The 20,193-nt window shown below is 48.2% G+C and overlaps 1 long non-coding RNA gene and 1 pseudogene across 1 annotated transcript in view; one reads left to right on the forward strand and one right to left on the reverse strand.

The window, feature by feature from the left end:
* The first annotated feature begins 4,484 nt into the window (after nt 1–4,484).
* Nucleotides 4,485–20,193, forward strand: part of FAM30C (family with sequence similarity 30 member C) — a 46,560-nt gene continuing 30,851 nt past the window's right edge. Inside the window, exon 1 of the long non-coding RNA NR_145444.1 lies at nt 4,485–4,967. This is a non-coding gene — a long non-coding RNA (family with sequence similarity 30 member C). The remainder of the gene's footprint in view (nt 4,968–20,193) is intronic.
* On the reverse strand, nt 11,631–11,817 carry IGHD5OR15-5B (immunoglobulin heavy diversity 5/OR15-5B (non-functional); annotated as a pseudogene).

The following is a 20,193-nucleotide window of genomic DNA, read 5'->3' on the forward strand; positions in this document are numbered from 1 at the left end:
CCTGTTCTTCCTGAGTCCATTTGCTGATCAGAACTCAGGTAACTTAAAAGTCATATACCCTGGAAAGGAGTATGGAAACAGGAAAGATCCTCAGCGGCTATACAAGTGAGAGATATGGCAGAGTTCTAATAAGATTGACTAAAAGCTTGATACTGTCTTACATCAAAGGAGCAAATAATTGTTCTACCTGGAATGTCCAGGCCCCAATTCACAAATGCATTCCTACCTTTTGAACTGAATAATGATCTCTTTCCCAATAAACTGTTATAAGACAAAAAATCTGAAAGGAAAATTGTTGCACATACATCATATTCTTATATTCTGTATTTTCTGGGACAGTCTGTTTCAGATTAGATGATGAGTCCTAATTCAGGTTTGCAAAATATTATCAAGGCAAATCTTTATGGAGATTTTATTGAGATATTATTTTATAACAAAAAATGGGATAACTGTAATGTTCATCAAAAAAATTGGTGGTAGAAGGAAGGAAGGTGTTGGAGTGTTCAGTAACCTTACCCCAGAATGCCACAGTACAAATTCTGTGAGAAGTCATTCTTGTGTAGTAGAGGCATTCATTTTTCTCCTAATATCCCTTCTGAAAATTCCCTTTTGCTAGTCAGCTCTTAGCTTCTTGGAAAGAAGGCCCTTCGTCTAGGACAATGTTCATCTCCCCACATAAAAATTCACAATTCATGGCATGTTAGTTCAATAAAATATTATGCTTTCTAAGAATGATAATTATGAAAACTTGCTATAAATGGGAGCAAGTTCAACATTAAATCACATGAAACAGACATATTAACAAAAATAGATACATTAGAGCAATTGAACTATAAATGCTTTTTTCCTTTAAAAATTTTCCTTCATGTTATTTTCACATTCTTTTAGCAACAAATGACAATGAACTGCCATTGATTTTATTTTTTGAACTTAAGCAGTGTATCCACAAGTACACCATTGCCCTGTCCAATTTTTAGGGGGAGATATTCTATTATCTAAAACTCAATAAATTGACCCATCACGTTTTTGGTGATACCTTATTTAGGTAAAAATATTAGGCATTTAGAAGAATGCATTTGTGAATATTTTGACTGATATTACTATAGATGGAATTAGAATCTGCCCTTTAGGGGCTCAGAAGGAAGTAATGTTTGGATGTCATTAGGCTAAAATATTTTATTTATTTTATTTATCAGGGTAGAATATTGCTCTTGAACCACTTTGGAAGGAATTTTACCAGGTACTTTTAACCACAACACAGCAGTGAAATTGCAGAAAGTCAATAGTTGGGTTCATATTTATAAACTGTAACCTAAAAATAAATCCCTAAAACCCACCACTGATTAAATAGTCCATCTCTTGGCCTAGGGAACCCCCTAAAAATCTAAAAACTTTTTCCAACCATGACTAAACAAGAGATCAGACACGCCTCGTTATACCTACTCCCCTTTGTGGTTTAGTCACAGCAGTGACCAACACTCATGTTAAAATAGAGATCTTAAGACTGACAGAAGAGTGGCAGTAAGATGTCAAATTATAAACAAGACCTAAGGCCTTGCCAGGCAAGGATTTTGCCACTCACTTCTACACTTAAAAGATAAACTATGTTTTAACTGCCAATAGGTTATTCCTTTTCTCTAGTGGCTCAGTAAGCACTGGCACTGAGACAAGCACTATGAAGACAATTGCAGCCCATCCCCTGATGAACTGACCCCCTGTTCCACAAGCCATAACCCCAGCTTTGATTGAACATTTGCTATCAGGATCTTTTTCCTGATCAGAGGCCACTGACCATGGCCTGGCTCTGGCCGTTTACAGAATGTGCACCCTGAGTGCCTTTGTGTCTCTGCTTCTGCTATTTGCACATAGGGCCTGACTGTAATGGATTTAAATGCTAAGTCACCACTGGTGAGTGAACAGGGCTCATAAGCTTCATGTGTGTTTGTTCAGTATGCGTGTGTCAGGACAACCTCCATGAACATCCATAGCACCTCCTGTAACCTGTTGATTAAGTCTGTTTAACCAAACAGTTCAGCATAAAGCTTCTGCCCAACCCCTTCTTCTTGGGAGTGCCTGTCTCTCATTTTTACCAAATCTATGCTTTCCAGTGTATAGGATGGCTGTAACCCTTGATAAAAATATAGTCTCAGTTTCCTAATTTGTAGATTGTGGTATTTTTAAATATTTAATACAACTGAATATTAAATTCAGAACTTCATCTAATTATTAGACTACTTTAGTAAAGTATGACAAACTGTGGATATCCTATAATAATTTTTATATACCCTATAAGGGCCTGTGATATTTTGAAGCAGGAAGCTGACCTGAGACCTTCAGAATAAACTGATCACTGTGGATAATGAAAAGGCCCCACCCAGGACATTGATTGAGCACCCCTGCCTGTCTCATTCCTTCTTCTCTTTCTTTTTATTATGTGCTTACCATAATAAAAATTTTTATTGTCTTTAGATCTGTTTGCTTTTCACACATAGTGGACTCTTATCTCTCTTTTTCACTCATTTTCTTAAACTGCTAGGGAGAATAAAGTGTCAGGTCCTATTTTGGTGCTCACTGCTGATGAATTAAGGTTTATTCTTCTTCTTCCTTGTCCCCCACATATGGGAAATCTAGTAAGAAATCGTAGAAGCTCCCTTATCTGATGCCAGTGTGAGGTTTAAATCACACAAGCTCCTTCTCCTGAGTAGAAACGTGCCCCTACCCCCAACCCCACCACCAAATCATTATAAAGCCCTGAGCCAGCCTCCTTTCCTGTTCCATTGAAGAAATTCCAGTTTGGAATTTCTTGAGAGGCCTGTGCTGCTCTCAGCAGACAATAATAGAGTTGGTAAATCTTTTCATAACCACCTGAGGTGTGAGTGTGGCACTATCAGACCTGACATCCACACTAACAATTGGTGGGCTCTCTCTTCTTTTGCATGGGGTCACCTACAATTGGAACTATGGGTTTGGAGTCCTGACAGTGACCACCACGGGGCCTTTCTTCTTTTGCACTGGATGCTAACTCCCTCTGCCCCAGTGCCCAGCATGCACTTTATCCTGCCTGCTGCTCACTGACCCTTGGAGTTCTGTTGAGCTGGGCTGCAGTGTTGAGTTAAACACCACACCTTTTATAGATTTAGCTGATTGAATTCAGAAGCATTGATAATTTATTCACATTGAGAAACAGGAGTGATTGTAGGTGACTCTGCCTTTGGTGCATGTGAGAAAATTTTTCTCTTGTCACCACAAATGTTTCTTCTTCAGGAAGAACAGGATAAGGAATCCAGAGAAGTGCCCCAGAGGAAACTGTTTCATGGAGAGGAAGCCACAGGGCTGACAGGAAACCAGACCTTAGCCTCCCTCTGCACCTGCCCTGAGGCTGGCTTTTGTGCTCAGTGGGTCCTGAGTGCCCCCAGCTGGTCCTGTTCCCTCTTCAGGGAGGCTTGTTTCTGGGCTCATACTGACATTTTTTCTAATTGTGTTCCCCAAAATGGAGACAGAGTAAACCGTGAATCCATGCATCTCAGAGAACAGAGAACAGCAGAATTACACCCACTGATCCCCCCCACACACATTTAGGTAAATCTTATTAAAACTGCTGAAAAGGAAAGACAAATAGAAATATACGCAGGCAAGTGGAGGTGAGCAGAGGGGGCATTCCTTCCAAAAGAACAGAAAAGATGATGACAGCATTCTTCTGGTTAAAACCTTACAAGCAAGAGGAAAGTTGATGGTATCTGTAAAGTGTTGGATGAAAAGTCAACCCATTATTTTATAACGCATGGGTGTTCTCTAAAAAGTGAAAAAAAATTCTATTTCTCTTTGACAGCATGAGGGTTTCAGTGAATCCAGGCCCTCATGAGACCAGTGAAAATTATTTTGAAAAATTACAGGGTTTGGAAAGGCTCTAACAACATAAAGCAAGTGAAGAAATATTTATTCAAGAAAATCTAGAAAACTCAGTAAGGCCAGTCATCATACTTGATCTAAGATGCTCTTCCTTCCTTCCACATCCCAGCTCAGCATGATGTAAACTCCACTGCGGACAGATGCAGCCAAGAAGACAGGTCACCTTCTACCAACTCCCACCAGAGGAAACTCTTCCCCAGGACCCAGTACGTTGGCCCTCTGACCCTGCACACAGCACATGATGCTGAGGTTCAGTGCTGAACAAGAGCTACTGAGAGCCAGAGATTCACTTCTTCCATGGAGCCCCACTCATGGATGGAGGCTCTGTCCCGGGTCCAGTGCCACTGGGAACACTGGGTCTCTGGTTTCTAGCTCTGTCCTATGGCAGAGGTTCCACCCCACAATAACCGAAGTGCTGAGAAGGTGGGAAGCTCCTGCCCGACCCTCCACTGAGAGCTCAGCTCCTAGGCTGAGGAATAAAACAGCTCAACTTTGTCTACACCTGCAGAACCTTGTTTAGGAGCTCTGTCCCAGGAGAGAGGGGGCAATGGAATTCAGTCATAAAATATGATCCTTAATTAGTCCTAAAAATCCTAACTTCAGTAACAGCAGATTGTGGACAAATTGAAAGCCTGCCAGTGCTCTCAAAAACAGTGGATGGTGTGGTGGAAAGCCCTTGGAAGGAGACGGGTGGATGCATGGGAGATGCAGGCTACACTGCAGGGCTGCTGGCTTGCAGGAGAGAACCGAGGACAAGGGAGAGCTGGGGAAAGTTCTCTTGTGGTTGAAATAAATGCCAGACACTCTTCAATGGAGCCCATGTTTGTTTGGTTCAGTCTGTGAAGTAATTCAAACCTCAGTGCATGATTGAAAATAGTACAATTTTCCATCTGCAAGTGGCAGAGCTCAACATCTGGGTCTGGTCAGGAGAGAGACAGAGAGAGCCCAGCCCAAACCACTGACACCTGGGGTTGACAGTGCTGCTTACAGATGTGTTCCTTTGATCTTTGAGACTGGTTTCTCTCACTTAGCATAATGCCTGGAGTTCAACTGTAATGGTTTGTGAATCGATCATTTGATATTTTTTATTGCTGATGGATTCAATTTATAGATGCTTCCTAGTTTTTTCACCTACTCAAATTTTGAGACATTTATGTTATTTTTCATTTCTAACACACACACATGTAATATCTTGAATATTTGAATAGAGGTTTTGTGTGAAAATAAGATTGTATTTCTCTGAAGCAAAATTCAAGAGTGGGATATTTAGGTCATGTGTTAAGGGCATGTTTGATTGCAGAAAAAACTAAAAATTATTTTCCCGAGTAGCTGTTTCATTTTGCATTCCCATTAACAATGTCGTAGACACTAGGAACTTGGTATGCTCATCAGCATTGGTATTACCTGTATTTCTTCTTAATTTCAGCCATTCTAAAAAGTGTATAGTGGTGTCTCATTGTGGGCTTGATTTGAATTCCTTTAATGGAAAATCCTGTTAACAGCCTGTTTATATGCTTATGTGTCATCTGCACATCTCATTTGATGAAATGTCTGCACAAACCTTTGCCTATTTTATCCATGGGTTGTTTCTTTCTTATTTCTTTTTCACAGTTGAGTCTTGAGAGTTCTTATTCTAATTAAATTGGTGGTTATGTGATTTGAAAATAGTTTCCCATCTGAAACTTGACATTCATGTTCTTATAGTTACTTGAGTAGAAAACGTCTTTAAATTTAATGAGTTTCAACTGATAGTAATTTCATTTATTGATCATTTTTTACATATTATATTATATTATATTATTTTATTTTATTTTATTTGAGATGGCGTCTTGCTGTGTCACCCAGACTAGAGTGCAGTGGCACGATCTTGGCTCATTGCAAACTCTGCCTCCTGGGTTCAAGCAATTCTCCTGCCTCAGCCTCCCGAGTAGCTGGGATTACAGGTGCCTGCCACCACATCTGGTTAATTTTTGTATTTTTAGTAGATGGGGTTTCACCATGTTGGCCAGGCTGGTCTCAAACTCCTGACCTCATGATCCATCTGCTTCGACCTCCCAAAGTGCTGGGATTACAAGCGTGAGACACTATGCCCGGTCTAAATTTTAATTTTAAGATCATTGGTCAACTGTTAATTATTTTATATTTTTAACTTTTTTGTGTGTACATTTATTTGATAAATTTAAGGGCTATGAGTGCAACTTTTGCACATGGATATATTCCATAGTGGTCTTGGCTTTTAGTGTAATATCACCCAAATAATGTACATTGTACCCACTAGGTAATGTCTCCTCATGCTCCCACCTTCCACCTCCCATCCTTCTAAGTCTCCGGTGTCCATCATTTCTCTCTCCATATCCTTGTGGACACATTGTTACCTCCCACTTACAAATAATAACGTGTGGCATATGACTTTCTGTTTGTGAGTTAGTTCACTAATTATATTGTCCCCAGTTCTAGGCATCTTGCTGCAAAAGACACAGTTTCATTTCTTATTGTGGTTGACTAGTATTGAATTGTGCATATGTGCTGTGTTCTTTTATAAAATCATCTGTTGGTGGACACTCAGGTTGACATGTGTGTTATTAAGAATAGTTTTGTGGTAAACATAGAAGCATGGATATCTTTTTGAAGTAATGATTTATTTTCCTTTGGGTAGTTACCCCGTAGTCGGATTGCTGGATCAAATGGCAGTTCTATTTCCAGTGTTTTGGGAAGACTCCATACCATTTTCCATAGAGGTTGTCCTAGTCCACATCCTCATCTACAGTGTCGATGAGTTCCTGTTACTTTCCATCCTCACCAACATCTGATACTTTTGAGTTTTTAATAATAGTCACTGTGGCTTTTGTAAGATAATATCTTACTGTAGTTTTAATTTGCATTTCCCTGATGGTTAGTGATGTTGAGCATTGTTTATATATTTATTATCCATTTGTATGTGTTCTTTGGAAATGTCTACTCACGTCCTTTGCTCATTTTAATAGGGTTATTTGGTTCTTCTTCCTGTTGTTGTATAGTTTAATTCCTTGTAAATTCTTCATGTTAGTTCCTTGTCACAGGCAAGGTGTGCGAAAATTTTCTGTCATTCTGCAACTTGCCTGTTCAGTCTGTTGCTGTGAAATACCTCTATAGTTTAATTCTCACTTGTCTATTTTTTTCTTGGGTGTGTTTTGTGGTGTTAGTCATAAATTCTTCACCTCGCCCAGTGCCCAGAAGAGTTGTCCTCGTATTTTCTTTGAGTACATTTATAGTTTGAGGTCTCATATCTAAGTCTTTAATTCATTTTGTGTTGAGTATGTATGTGTTGAGGGTAGGGGTCTAGTTTTGTTCTTCTGCATGTTCATTTCCAATTTCCCCAGCACCATTTATTGAATGGGGTGTCCTTTTTCTGGTGTATGTTTTTGTTAAGTTTGTCAAAGATCATTTGGCTATAGATTGTGTGGCTCAATTCTGGGTTCTGTAAAATGTACCCTAGAGCCTTGATTCTCCTGAGGCCTCAGTAGTGACCTGCTCACAGTTAGAACTCTGTTGACTCAGTGGTGTTTCTATGAGTGTAGTGATTCGTGGTCATGGGGTGGTTTTCCTAAAATTGTGGACAATTCTGTTTTGATGTTCAAGCATGTGCTAAAAATTTCACAATAAATGTGTCTGTGAATTATCCATTTCATTTCCACATTACTCCTTGGACTTACTGAGATGTGTTTGTGATGTCAAGATGAGGTGTTTTTCTTTCCAGGTGTTGGATTTTTTACCTATCTGGGTATTTATGGGCTCCCTGGGTGGAAATAAGCCGCATCCATCACACCTACCTTATGGAATTTTTAGAAATTTATTTGTGCACTGCCACTGTGAGACACTCCATGATGATGACACATTTCATTTATGTTATTGTTTCATAAAATTACTAGTGTACCTTCCACTCTAGAAGAGAAGATGCTGTCTGGATTTTCATAATTCCTCCTGCTCTCTTATCTCCACATTCTTCTTTGACACCATATCTGCAGCTTAAGAATGACATACGCTACTGACATTTGTATTTGGTCCCTTAAAGTGATATGAACCTAAGGAACTGGTGGCCGCATATCAGTGATGCATCTGGCTCAGGTAATAGGAACCTTTCGTGCTGAATCTTGTCAAACTGGATACAGTCTCGGCTGTGTCCTGTTGAGTTAGGCATAGAATAGACAGCTTCATTGCCAAAGAAAAAAAGTAGGGGGTAAAATGGGTGGTATGTCTCCAGCAAATACAATGCATAGGAAAACAAATTGCCATATGCTTTAAGGCTCCGCTGCAATCATCTCTGAAACAATCTTTTTCCTTCTCAGCTTATTTGGGTGGCAGAGTCAGCTCCAAGGCTGCAGGCAGAGGCACCGCTCCTGAAGCACTGCTAGGCCCAGCTCCCATGTCAAAGGCCTCATGCAGCCCTACACACAGGGCTGGCTGGTTGCTCCCAAGCCCAAGCCTCTGTTGGGTGGTTTCTTCCTCAAGATTTTAGAAACAGGCTTTCTGGTCTGTTGAAATAAAGGCAGTGGTCTGATAGTTTCTAAATAAATTTAAAGCTTATTTTTTCTCCCTTCCAGAAGTATCATGTACATTTGCTGCCAAGTAGCTCTATTATTCCAGGCCATTAAATCTGAAAAATCTAACAGTTTTCATCAGATTTGTCTCAGGTCAATTCTCATTCTTTAAAACCTGAAATATTTCTTTTCATAGAGTATCTTAGGCTTCTTACTGAGTGATATTTCAGTCATATACTCAGTGTTCTTTGTAGAATACAGTTTCTGATTTTGGCAATATGGATAGGTTGAGAATTTTCTAAGTGCTCAGGTTTTTTATTCTTTTTCATTTATATTTTTTTCTGATTTTAATTTATCTACCTCACTTGTTATAAGCACTCAGGAGGAACCAAGCAAAATATCTTCAACACTTTACTTAGAACTATTCTCAGCTACTCACAAGTTCTCACTACTCGCAACTTCTCTTTCACTAAATATTGTATCACTGTCCAGCCAAGATTTTTTTAAAAACTTTATGATAAGGATGACTATTGCTCCATTTTCCAAAACCACTCTACTCATTTCTGTCTATCAGCATGACCCTCAACATACAAATTTCTTCATATATGTCAAAGGTACCCATCCTTTTACACATAACCCAATTCCAAGCTACTTTCACAATTTTCAAATAATTGTAACATCAGATTTCCACTTCCTAACCCCAAATTTTCTTTTGTCAGTTTAAGATGCCATTACAAACTATCATATTTGGTGACTCATGCAACATTAATTTTATTTCATTTATCAGTGCTGTGAACTCCAAGATCAAGATGCTGACAAGATAGGTTTTATTTTGAGGCTTCCACTTTTGGCTCAGAGCAGCCATCATATTGTTACTTTTTCATATGATCATTTCATTGTAGGGCATGTGTGTGTGTGTGCATGTGTGTGAGAGAGAGAGAGAGAGAAATAGAGAGAGAGAGAGGCTGTCTGGTGTCTTTACTTATGAGGTCAGTAATTTCATTCTGATGTTTCACCCTCATCATCTCCTTTAAAATTCAGTACTTTCTTTCTTATAGAAAGCAGCCCGACAGAAATTTGCAAACTTCCTTTGTGATTTTTATTATTATTATTTTTTAGCTCATCAGCTATTTTTAGTGTTAGTGTATTTTATGTGTGGCCCAAGTCAATTGTTCTTTCAATGTAGCCCAGGGAAGCCAAAAGATTGGACACCCTGCTCTACAGCTACAGTAGTTTAATATTAATATAAAGATATAGGCAGAACAACTGAACAGAATAAAGACTAGAAAAATATCTAAACATATTACTAATTATCTAAACATATTACTGATTTTCAGTAATGAAAATCAATTAACCACTGACATGTATTACCTATATGAATCTCACAAACAATGTTGAATGAAAGACTCAAGGCAGAGGTTGTACATTCCATTTCAAAATTTCAAAAACAGCAATCAAGACCAGTGTCAAAAGTTAGCATAGTGATTACTTCTGAATACTGTTAGAAGATAAACTCAGATAACTAGGAGATTAATGAGAAAAACAACCAAAAATGGCAGTAAGCATTGAATCTAATTACCTATAGGAGGCCAAGACTAATATAGGGATTTTGATTTGAAAATTAAATGTTGGAGTTGTAAACCTTGATAATAGGATAGATACATAACTATCTATATGTAGAGAGGCTGAGGTATGAGAATCACTTGAACCTGGGAGGCAGAGGCTGTGGTGAGCCGAAATTGTGCCGCTGCACTCCAGCCAGGGTGACAGAGCAAGAGTCTGTCTCAAAAAAAAAGTTATGAATAACTGTGCACCAGGTAACAGAGCATCAGCATTCACAGAGAAGAGCTATAGGGGAAACAAGAAAAAATATAGAAAACACAGCATCTTAATTATTTAATTCATGTGTTTTAGTTCATTAAACATCAAGAGGACCAAAATTAAGCAAGACTAAAAAATACCTAAATATCGTAATTGATAAGGTAGAAATATGTGTGTGTATGTCTGAACATAACAACTCATTCTTTTTTAAGTGGCAATGAAACATTCATAAAATAAAAAAAGAAATTTCTTAATTGCTATAAAAGTATTCCTGGGGATGAGTAATTTATAAAAAATCTAATTTGGCTGACGGTTTTGAAGGCTGTACAGGAAGTGTGGTTCTGCCATCTGCTTCTGGTGAGGGCTTCAAAAACCTTATATTTATGGTAAAAGGCACAGGGGAAGAAGGAGTGTCACATGGTGAGCAGGGGGAAGAAGGAAAGGGGGAGATCCAAGTCTCTCTTAAAAAATCAGATCCTGAGTGATCTAACTATGTGAGAACTCACTCATTACCAAGTGGATGGCACTAAGCCATTCGTGAGGAATCTGGATTCTGGATTCCCATGGGGTGATGAGAGGAGAGCAGAGGGGAGGAGGGGCAGGGTTGGGTCCTGGGTAAGGCGGTGCTCGGGCTGGGGTCCCTGGAGAGAAGTTCTGGGTTCCTGGGGGCCAATCAGGCAGGCGTCTTTTCTGTCCACACCCCGAGGGTCCCAGCCGGAGCCAGGTGGGGAACCATAAGGAGAGGGCTTGTGTCCTGTCCTCCCCAGTCCTCTAGACAGGGTGGGGGCTGAGGGGTCCACCCCAGGGCAGGGCCAGGCAGTGACTCTGATGTGGGGCCTGGTTTTCGTGGACTGGCCTGGGGGGTGCGGGGTGCAGAGCAGGAGGGGGCAGATTCTGTTGGGGGATGGTGCAGTCATCCCTGTGTTCAGGCCATTTCCTGCCCTGGTCACCTGCAGTGAACCCTGGCAAGGAGGGGGTGGCCTCCCAGACAGCAGCCTGCCTGGGATCTGCTCTGGCCCTGGAACTGGGGATGGAGCCATTCTGGAGGTCAGCAGCTGCCTAGGACAGCAGGGGACCAGGCCAGCCCCTAGCAGGGGAGGCAGTGGGGATTTTGGCAAGGACCGAATTGTTTGGGAGCCAGTGCCCCACTAGGCACAGTGACAGACACCCCAGCAGTATGTCCTGTCCCCACCAGACTGCCCACCCTATCTTAGGTGTAGCATGTGAGGGTGCCGTGCCCCTGGCAGGCCCAGCCCTTGACCTTCCATGCAGTCATGAGGCCCTGGGAAGCTGAGAACAGACCTCCCACTGAGGGAACCCTCCCCACAGAGGGCAGAGTGCAGACAACAGTGACCTTGAGAGCACCAGGAGAAGCAGGTGAGCTGGAGGCCTGGGGCTGCATGGCAGTGGCTCATCTACTTGGCCTGGTTGCTGCTATGGGTGGCCCCACTGTGGTAATCGTAGACACTATATCCACCACAGTCTGACACCCCCTGACAATAACCACACCTGGAACTGGAGGCGGGGCTGTCAGGAGGAGCTTCCCAGGGAGCAAGGAGGGTCCAGACAGCTGTGCCAGGGGCCCCCAGGACTGGGGACGTGGGGGGCTGCTCAGGGACCAGACATGCACAGTGTCCCCCTGGAGAGGCCTCTGCAGCCTCCTGGGCTCTGGGACGGGCCTCCAGTCAGCAGGAGGCTGGGTGCTCCCCGACATGTGCTCTCCTGCCCTCACTGGTGAGCTCCTATGTGGCCCAGTGCAGGCCCAGCTCCAGCGTCCGCTCCTGTCAGCCTGGCCGAGGGTCTGGGCAGAACTGGGCATGGCTCCTTCTTAGATCCCTCGGGGACTGTCTCTACAGCTGTACCTGGGGCTGGGGGCTCCATGAGTGGTCTTTGCCATATGGGGACGTCAAAGGCAGGTGTTTCTCTAGTGGCAGGTGAGGGAGACTGTCCAGGGCCTGGCCCTACGAAACATAGTGGCCTCTCAGAGGAGGGTGTGTGGGAGTCCTGCCTATTGGGAGCCTGGCGGATGCTGCCCTCTTGATTCCAGCCAGGATGGGAATCCAGGCAATTGGCAGGAGGTGCTGGAACAAGGCTGGTGTCTACAGCAATTCCCGGCCCTAGGAATTGGCTGTTGGAACTGTGGCAGCTGTTGGGACAGGGTTCGGTGCAGCTGGCAGGCACCTGTGGTCATGAGTGAGGTCACCTCAGAGCCCTCTGAAGCCCTTGTTTGAAGGCAGATGAAGTGTGGGGCACCAGCCCATGGGCTTTCATGGCCAAGGTGTCCCTAGAGGCCGAGGGTCTGGGCAGAAATCCTTGGGCCTGGCTCTTCTTATCCTGGAGAACTCTGAGCCGAGAAGTGTGCATAAACCCTGGGAGTCCGGTCAGTTTTTGCTGCTGGGTTCATCACTGTGGTAGTTAGCACCATAGTCACATAGCAGGAGGGCCTTCACAAAAAGCCCCTCAGTGAGCCCAGAGGCATTTCCCACGCAGGTGCTGGTCCAGGCGTCTGGGGCCCCCATTGACAGTGGTGCTGCATCCTGGGGATCTCAGACCGGTCTGAATCTTCCCCGCCTGCCGTCGAGGGCAGGAGGGTCTGACTCACCCTCCAGGGCTCCTGTCCCCTCCAGGAGGGGCTGAGGTGACATCCGGTCAGAGCATGTGCAGGAGTCAGGCCTCCTGGATTTTTAGTCCTGGGGTAGGTGCAGGGGGTGGGACACCTTTTAGGGGTCTGGGAAGGGCTGGGCTGTGGGGCTGTCCCCATGGGCCATCTTGTGTTCTGGGTGCCGTCCTGATCCAGATGTGGGTTCCCGATGTGATATCACTGAGGACTGTCCTGGAAGAGGGTGCCCACTGGGGAGAGAGACAGGGATTTCTGGAAGGTTCTTTGTCTCTGACTGTGAGAGGTGAGTCCTCTGTTGGCTTCCCGGGTGAGGTTTGGAAAGGAGCAGGACTCAGGACGGCCAGGCAGGATGAGCGACTCCCAGCTCCGGCTGTCCCGGGAATGCCTTCTGTCTTGGAAATGACCCAGGAGAGGCTCAGGTGTCAGAGCCAGGCAGGCCAGGGACCACAGGGGCAGGGACAGTGCACAGGACCAGCCCCGCCCTCCTGCCCCTACTCGGACCTGGGGGGTTCTCAGGGTCCACACATGTGGCTCAGCCTTGAGGGAGGGGCTTCCGGGACTGCTGGGTGCCTGTCCCCATCTGGACTGGTACTAGAGGGCAGCAGCGATGCAGACCTGTTGGACTCAGGTCTGGCTGACCTATGGGATAATCCTGGCCATCTGTTTCATGGTCTCCGGGGCTGGCGGGCAGGAGCTCAGGGTGGTCACTCTTGGGCTTGTCCATTGTGCCTGCTGCCCTGTGTGTTTGGGACACAGGTTGCACTGCTGTGGTAGCCACTACACCCATGGTGCTGTGGCCTCGATCAAAATCCTAACGCGGCATGTGGTGGTCCACTGTGGGGAGGGCTATGGCAGAAGGCTCCCAGGGATGGGTTTTTGATGGACTCTGTGACACTGTGGGTATAATAACCAGTCCAAAAATCATAATACCACAGTGACACAGACCTCACCCCAAACCTACTGCCAGGTCCGGGGAAACTCGGGATGTCCAGGGCTGACCTGAGGAGGTAGCAGGGCACCGAGGGGAGGCTGTGGGCCCAGCGCTCTCAGGTCTGCTGCGGGGACACTCGGGTCTGCCCCTCGCTTAGGTGGACAGTGTCTGTGCCCACCTGTGTCCTGAGGCTCCATTTCAGGCTGATATCTGTCTGTACTGTCCCTACCCATTCCATAGCCATGTCCTTTTGGGTTTATAAATTGCCCCCAAATCACGCAGGCATCACTCAGGCTTTTTATATTCCCTGGGCCACCAGGTGCCTCCACCCAGAAAGGTGAGATGTGGGAGAGTTCCAGAGTCATTCTGCAACCCTGGATGAGCCCTTGCAGCCTCAGTGCTACTGAGGTTCCAGCAACACCTGGAGCAGGTGCAGGTGAGGCCCGAGGCCAGGTGAAGCCCAGGCCAGGTGAGATCCAGGCCAGTGATGCCCAGGTCAGATGAGGCCCAGGTCAGGTGAAGCCCAGGTCAGGTGAAACCCAGGTCAGGTGAGGCCCAGATCATGTGAGCTCGGGACAGGCAAGGTCCAAGTCAGGTGAGGCCGAGGTCAGGTGAAGCCCAGAGGTGAGGTCCAGGCCAGGTGAGGCTTAGGCCAGGTGAGGTCCAGGCCAAGTGAGGTCCAGGTCAGGTGTGGCCCAGGTCAGGCAAGGCTGAGGTAGATGTATGAGACTTCTGTAATTTTCAGTCGGTGCCAACCCTGCCTGGTGTCCCTGCCCCTCCTCCCAGCCCACGCTCTGTGCCTGCCAGATGGCAGCCCCTGCACAGGTGGTGCTGGCTGTGGAGGAGCTGGGCTCTGCTTCCCTGTGCATGGGCGTCCCTCTCGGGCTCTGGCCTGGGAGTGTGGCTCAGTTGCTTCTCTCTGGAATGTGCCGACTGTGCCATCCTTGGGGGTATATGTTCTCGGGGGGATACGGCTCTGTGCCTGCTCCACATCTGGCCCCAGGAGCTGCCAGCAGGTACCGGCCTGCCCTGCCACACAGTGAGCCTGCAGCCTGTCCGGGGATGCCCAGGGAGATGAGTGCTACCACACATCAGGCCTTTTCTCTTTAAAGTCATTTCTTTGGGGATACATCATCGATGTCTCATATACTGAATGTATGTCTGTATCACTGTGCAATTGCCTGTGTCATCGTTTATTTATCCAACCTGGGTTAATGTCTTTGCTATTATGAACAGTGCCGGAGTGAGAATTTTCTAAACACAGCTGTGTACATTTTCCTCTTCTTGCGATTTAGAAGTTTAACTGCTGTTTTCAAGGTACTGTAATGTATTTGTTCTGTTCTTGTTAGGAGACTTGCCAAACCTGTGTGTCTCTGTTCACACCCTCTTCCTTCCCCAGTAGAAGTAACCACAACTGTGTTTATGTGATCATCGTTTTCTTGATTTTCCTTATAGTTTTTCTAGTGGAAAGTTTATCCCTTAAGAAGATAGTTCATTTTGCCGGGTGTAAATTTTATTTAGAAGAAATCATATTGAAAGTATTTTTTGGAGTTTCCTTTGTTACTCCAATTACTCAGCATTGTCATGAACTCAACCACAGAGTTGCCCGTAACCCTGTACTGTTGTCCTCGTGGCTGTCTGGGTTTGCATTTCATGAACCTGCCATCGTTTATTTGCCTGTTTTCCTTCAGATGGATGTTTGCTTCATTCTCAGTTTAGGGCTATGACAAACATATGTTCTGCACATCTTTGCCCATGAGGTTCTCAGGGAGGGCTCTGGGGCTGGCATTGCCTGCAGGGCTCTGCTTTGTTGCAGGGAGTTCCTGCCAGGGCTTTTCAGAGTGTCTGTGCCCAGCAGCAATGCCTGAAGGTACACACTGTACTTTGCCCTTGCATCAGGCACTTTCTGTTTGCTTGCTTCTGTGTGGCTCCACATTCTGGAGAATTTATTCAGATCTGTGCTGCAAATCCTTCTCACTGATTCTCTCTTTAGCTGTGTCTACATCAGCTGTTAAGCATCCCATGATGCAGCAGTGTGGGCACAGGGCAAACTTTCGAAAGATGACAGTGTGGGATAGAGGCTGCTCCTCCTTCCCTGTGCCCTTCCCACACTGTCCTCCTGGGCTCACTCCCAGCCATTTATCTCGAACACCAGTTTATGGAATTCTCTGCCCAGGAAAGCAGAAACAGTAAAAGGCCCTGCTCAGGCTCTGCCTGCATCTTCTCTTGCACACCCACCAAAGCTCTTTCCTTGGGGCCTGTGCCAGCTTCCCCAGCTTGCTTCTCATTTTCTGTTTACTCTGCTCGCTGGCTGGTGGGGGTGATGTCTGGGGGGAAGTCTGGTGTGTTTTGGCATTGGTGGACACCCCTAGGCCCTACTTCCCAGACGCTCCCCCTCAGCTCCAGAAGTGGAAGCATTTACAGCAGGGCTTTGGGACTGGGGGCTGTGTCACTGTGGGCATAGAAAGTAGTACTATTACAATATTCTCACAGTGACACAAGCCCCCACAAAATCCTCCTGTCCCCATGGGTGTCACGGAGTCCCCCCTTGCTGTCTCTGGCCAGTTCTCCTGCTGATACTGTGATTTCCAGGGGGTTTTTGTCTGAAACTCAGGGTGTCTTGGAGAGGACTCTGAGCCCAGTGCTGTACAGGGGGCTCCTCCTTTGTCCTGGGGGAGTTGCGTGGACCCTGTGTTTGGTTAAGGGAAGCATTTGCTGGTGAGGGAGACCTCCCCTCCTCTCTTTCTCAGGAGCCTCCTCTGATGATTTTGCCTGGTGTTTCTTGGGGCTGGTGCTCGGGGCTCAGCAGTCTCCGCCCTGGTCCAGCTGGGAATGTGGGTCCGTCCTGTTTCCATGAGTTTTCTGGGGCCACCAGTGAGGGGCTCGGGATGTCAGCGGCTGGTCTCGGTCCCTATGGTCTGGGCTCCGGCTCACTGCTCCCCTGCCCTCCAGGTCAGTCACTGACTCAGTTACTATGCAGCGGGCTCCATGGCTGTTTGGTGGTGGCTGCAGGTCTCTTCCCAGGAGAGGCCTGCAAGAGGGTTGGGATGTCTGGGAGCCCTGCATTCTCCCGTGATGTTGCTGCCTGGATCCCTCATCTTTAAAGGGAGTGCCGAGCCTCCCTGCAGGTGTGGGCAGTGAGAGACACAGGCGGATGTGCATCAGGGCGCTGGAGGCCGATTTCTTTCATTGCCTTCTGCCTGTGGAAGAGCTGAGCTCCCTGCTTCTGTGCACAGGAGATTTCCCTGTAAATGGGGAGTGAGGGCAAGGGTCTGTGTGGGGAAGACTTGGGTGAGCCTTCGTCCTGGAAATACCAGGGCCATGTCCAAGAGGGGAGTGGAGCCAAAGTGTCCAGGAGGAAGGTGAGGGCAGTGTGTGGGTGGGAGTGCACGGTCAGTGCCATGGCTCAGAGGCCCCAGGAGAGGAAGAGCTCAAGTTGTGGGCAGGAGGAGGCAGTGGGTAGGCACAGGGGGGAGAAACTGAGGCTCTGGCAGCAGAAGAGGGGAGGGCCTGCATGTGCAGGGTTGGCCTGGGAGGGGTGTCTGGAGGGAGAGACAGGGGTCTGGGTGGAGACCAGGGTGGTGACTGCAGGGACAGGACCCCAGGATTGTCTGGGTGGGCGGCAAGAGCAGCAGGGCAGAAAGGGCCCAAGGCAGGGTCCAGTCTTCTCAGGGTGTGGGCTGCAGGGATGGGACCCCAGGGTTGTCTGGATGGGCAGGAAGAGCAGCGGGGTAGAAAGGGCTGGAGGCAGGGTTGGGCGTCCCCAGGGTGTGGGGTGCAGGGAGGGGCTGCACAGGCTGTCCCCCTGAAGGAGGGAGGAGGGAAGGAGCACAGAGGTGCTGGGAGCAAATGGAGAGGGAAGTGGCAGCGACCTGCATGCCAGGCGGTCCCGGTTTGGGGTTGATCTGTGTGGAATAGCTCCCTGGCCCATGTGTAAGTGGTCAGGGGAGACATGGAGGTCTGGAGCTACAAGCGGTGGCAGGAAGGCAAGTCCTGGTCTTGGGGGTCTGGAGCTTATCTTCTTCCTGTGAACTGAGTGTGGGCGGCACCTATGGGTGGTGCCCTGGACCTGTGGTCTGGTGGAGTCCAGGCCTCCCAGGGATAGCAGGGCAGCCAGGGCTAGAGGAGCCTGAGGGGCCAGGTCAGGGTAGCCCTGGGGACACTGCCTCCACCTTTGACCAGCGCTGCTGCGGGGATCTGGTCATGAGACCCCTTCACCCAGGAGGGGAGGCACGTGAGTGTGACCCTAAGTCTGTACCCTATGGGGGGCTCTGACCCTCCTGCATAGGGCCTGGACAGGGGTGGGTGGCTGTGTGCAGGTGGGGAGTGGGGAGCCCAGACTCTCCCAGACACAGCCTGCTCTGCTCCAGAATGTGGGCTTGGGGACTGCAGGCTGGCTGGGTCTGGGCTGCCTGGTGTGCCTGTGGTGGCTGCATTCCCATATCTGGGACTGAGGCCTAGTGAGTACCAGGAGGAGCCTGAAGGGAGCTCCATGGAGGACCTGCCTCGGATGACACCCCTATTTTAGGAAGGACATGGTGTGTTCCAGCTGGGAGGAAGGGAAGTGGGCCACCTCCTGGGGGTCTTCCACCCCCACCACCTCAGCCTGGGGCTTCTGTGCTTCCTCCCTGCGCAGACCCCAAAGTCTGTGCCGCCACAGGGCAGGAAGGAAGGGCCTGTGTCCTGGTCGAGGTTGGGGCCACAGTGGTGTTCCCTAAGCCCCAGTCTGCTCTCAGGGCCCGCCCCGCAGCAGGTCCTGAGTGAGGGACAGAGACGGGGAGGGGTTTCTGATCCTGGTGGACTCTGGGGTGGATTCCAGTGGGGAGTCATCAGGGTCGGTGTCCCCCAGGGTATTGGGGTGAATGTGCTCCTGGAGTCTGCTCTGGATGTGGGGTTTATGCCTGTGCTGCCTGGGGTTGATGTTGGGAGGTGCCAGTGACCCGTTTCCCTGAGGGACTCTTGTCGGTGGTAGGGTCAGTTCTGGCCAGGGGCACTGGCGCCATAGCAGTAGGATGGGGTCCAGCCCCTTCCATGACCCCCTGGAGCCCTGGTCCCCATCCTCACCATTCAATGGGGACTCCGTTGTGCTCTGGCTGCTGGGGGTCATGTGAGCTGAGCAGGACCTAGGTTCGGGGCGGCTGTTCCCCTCTCTGGCATGGCCTCCGGCAGTGGCCAGGAGACGGTTTTGGACAAAGCTTTTCTCACAGTGGTTGTTCCAGTTATACCCACTGTGACTCGGGGCTGTTCAGAATCTGCCCAGGTGCCCTGAGCTCTGGGGCCTCCTGGGTGGGGGCTGGGCTTGTGGGCAGGATCTCCTTTGGGGGCTCTGGAGGCTGTGGCTCACTTTGGTTGTGGGGTGAGCACTGGAAGCCCCAGCTAGCAGAACACCCACAGAGACTGGGGCCTGCACACATTCCGCCCCAGTGTGTGGGGTGGGCCCAGGCCCCTCTGCGCAGGTCAGCTTCAATGGGGAGGGTGCTCAGGTCCTGCTTGTTTTCCTCTGGGTTAATGGGATTCATCTCCTGGCCCCAGATCCTCACAGGCTGCCCCTGTCCCTCCAGCAATGCAGGACATGGCAGGTCACCCTGGAGGGAGGCATGTTCTGGTCTGGGTGTCAGGTGTGGCACCTCAGATTTTCCATGCATGCTGTGGGCTGAGCAGGACAGCAGATGACCCCGGGCCCCCACCCTGTCTATGGACATTTTTTGCTGCGGCAACTGTGGGAGCTGACAGTGTTCACAGCCACGCCACGGTCATCATCGTAGTCAAGTCTTTCTAAGAGTTTCATTGTGACGAAGCCTCCTATTAAACGGCACCTCGGCCCTGCTTCCTGAGGGTTACTGCTGAGTCCCGGATTTCCCACAGAGGCGAAGAGAGGAGAGCAAAGGGAGGAAGAGGCAGATGAGCTGGGCCCTGCAGAAGGGGGTGCTTGGGTTGGGGTCTGTGGAGCAAAGATCTGGGCTCCTAGGGGCCACGCAGACAACCATCCTCCCTGTTCACACCTTGAAGATCCCAACAGGAGCCAGGTGGGGAGACTGTGAGGAGAGGGCCTGTGTCTTGTCTTCCTTGGGCCATGGGACAGGGTGGAGGTTGAGGGCTTCTTTCCCAGGGGATCACAGAACAGCACCTCTGCTGTGGGGGGCATCTAGCATGGGGGGCTGGGCTGTGGGGTGCAGGGCAGGAGGGGGCATGCATGGGAGGGGTGTGGCCCAGTCATTCCTGCATTCACAATCTTTCTTGTCCTGGGCACCTGCACTAGACCCTGGCCTGGAGGGGCGGCTTCCTAGCCTTCAGCATCCCTGGAGTCTGCTCTGACTCTGGACCTGGGGACAGGAGCCAGGCAGGAGGTCAGCAGCCTCCTAGGACAGCAGGAGGGCCCAGGCCAGTGCCTAGCA

Source organism: Homo sapiens, chromosome 15 (assembly GCF_000001405.40).
Source record: "Homo sapiens chromosome 15, GRCh38.p14 Primary Assembly".
Taxonomy (NCBI): domain Eukaryota; kingdom Metazoa; phylum Chordata; class Mammalia; order Primates; family Hominidae; genus Homo; species Homo sapiens.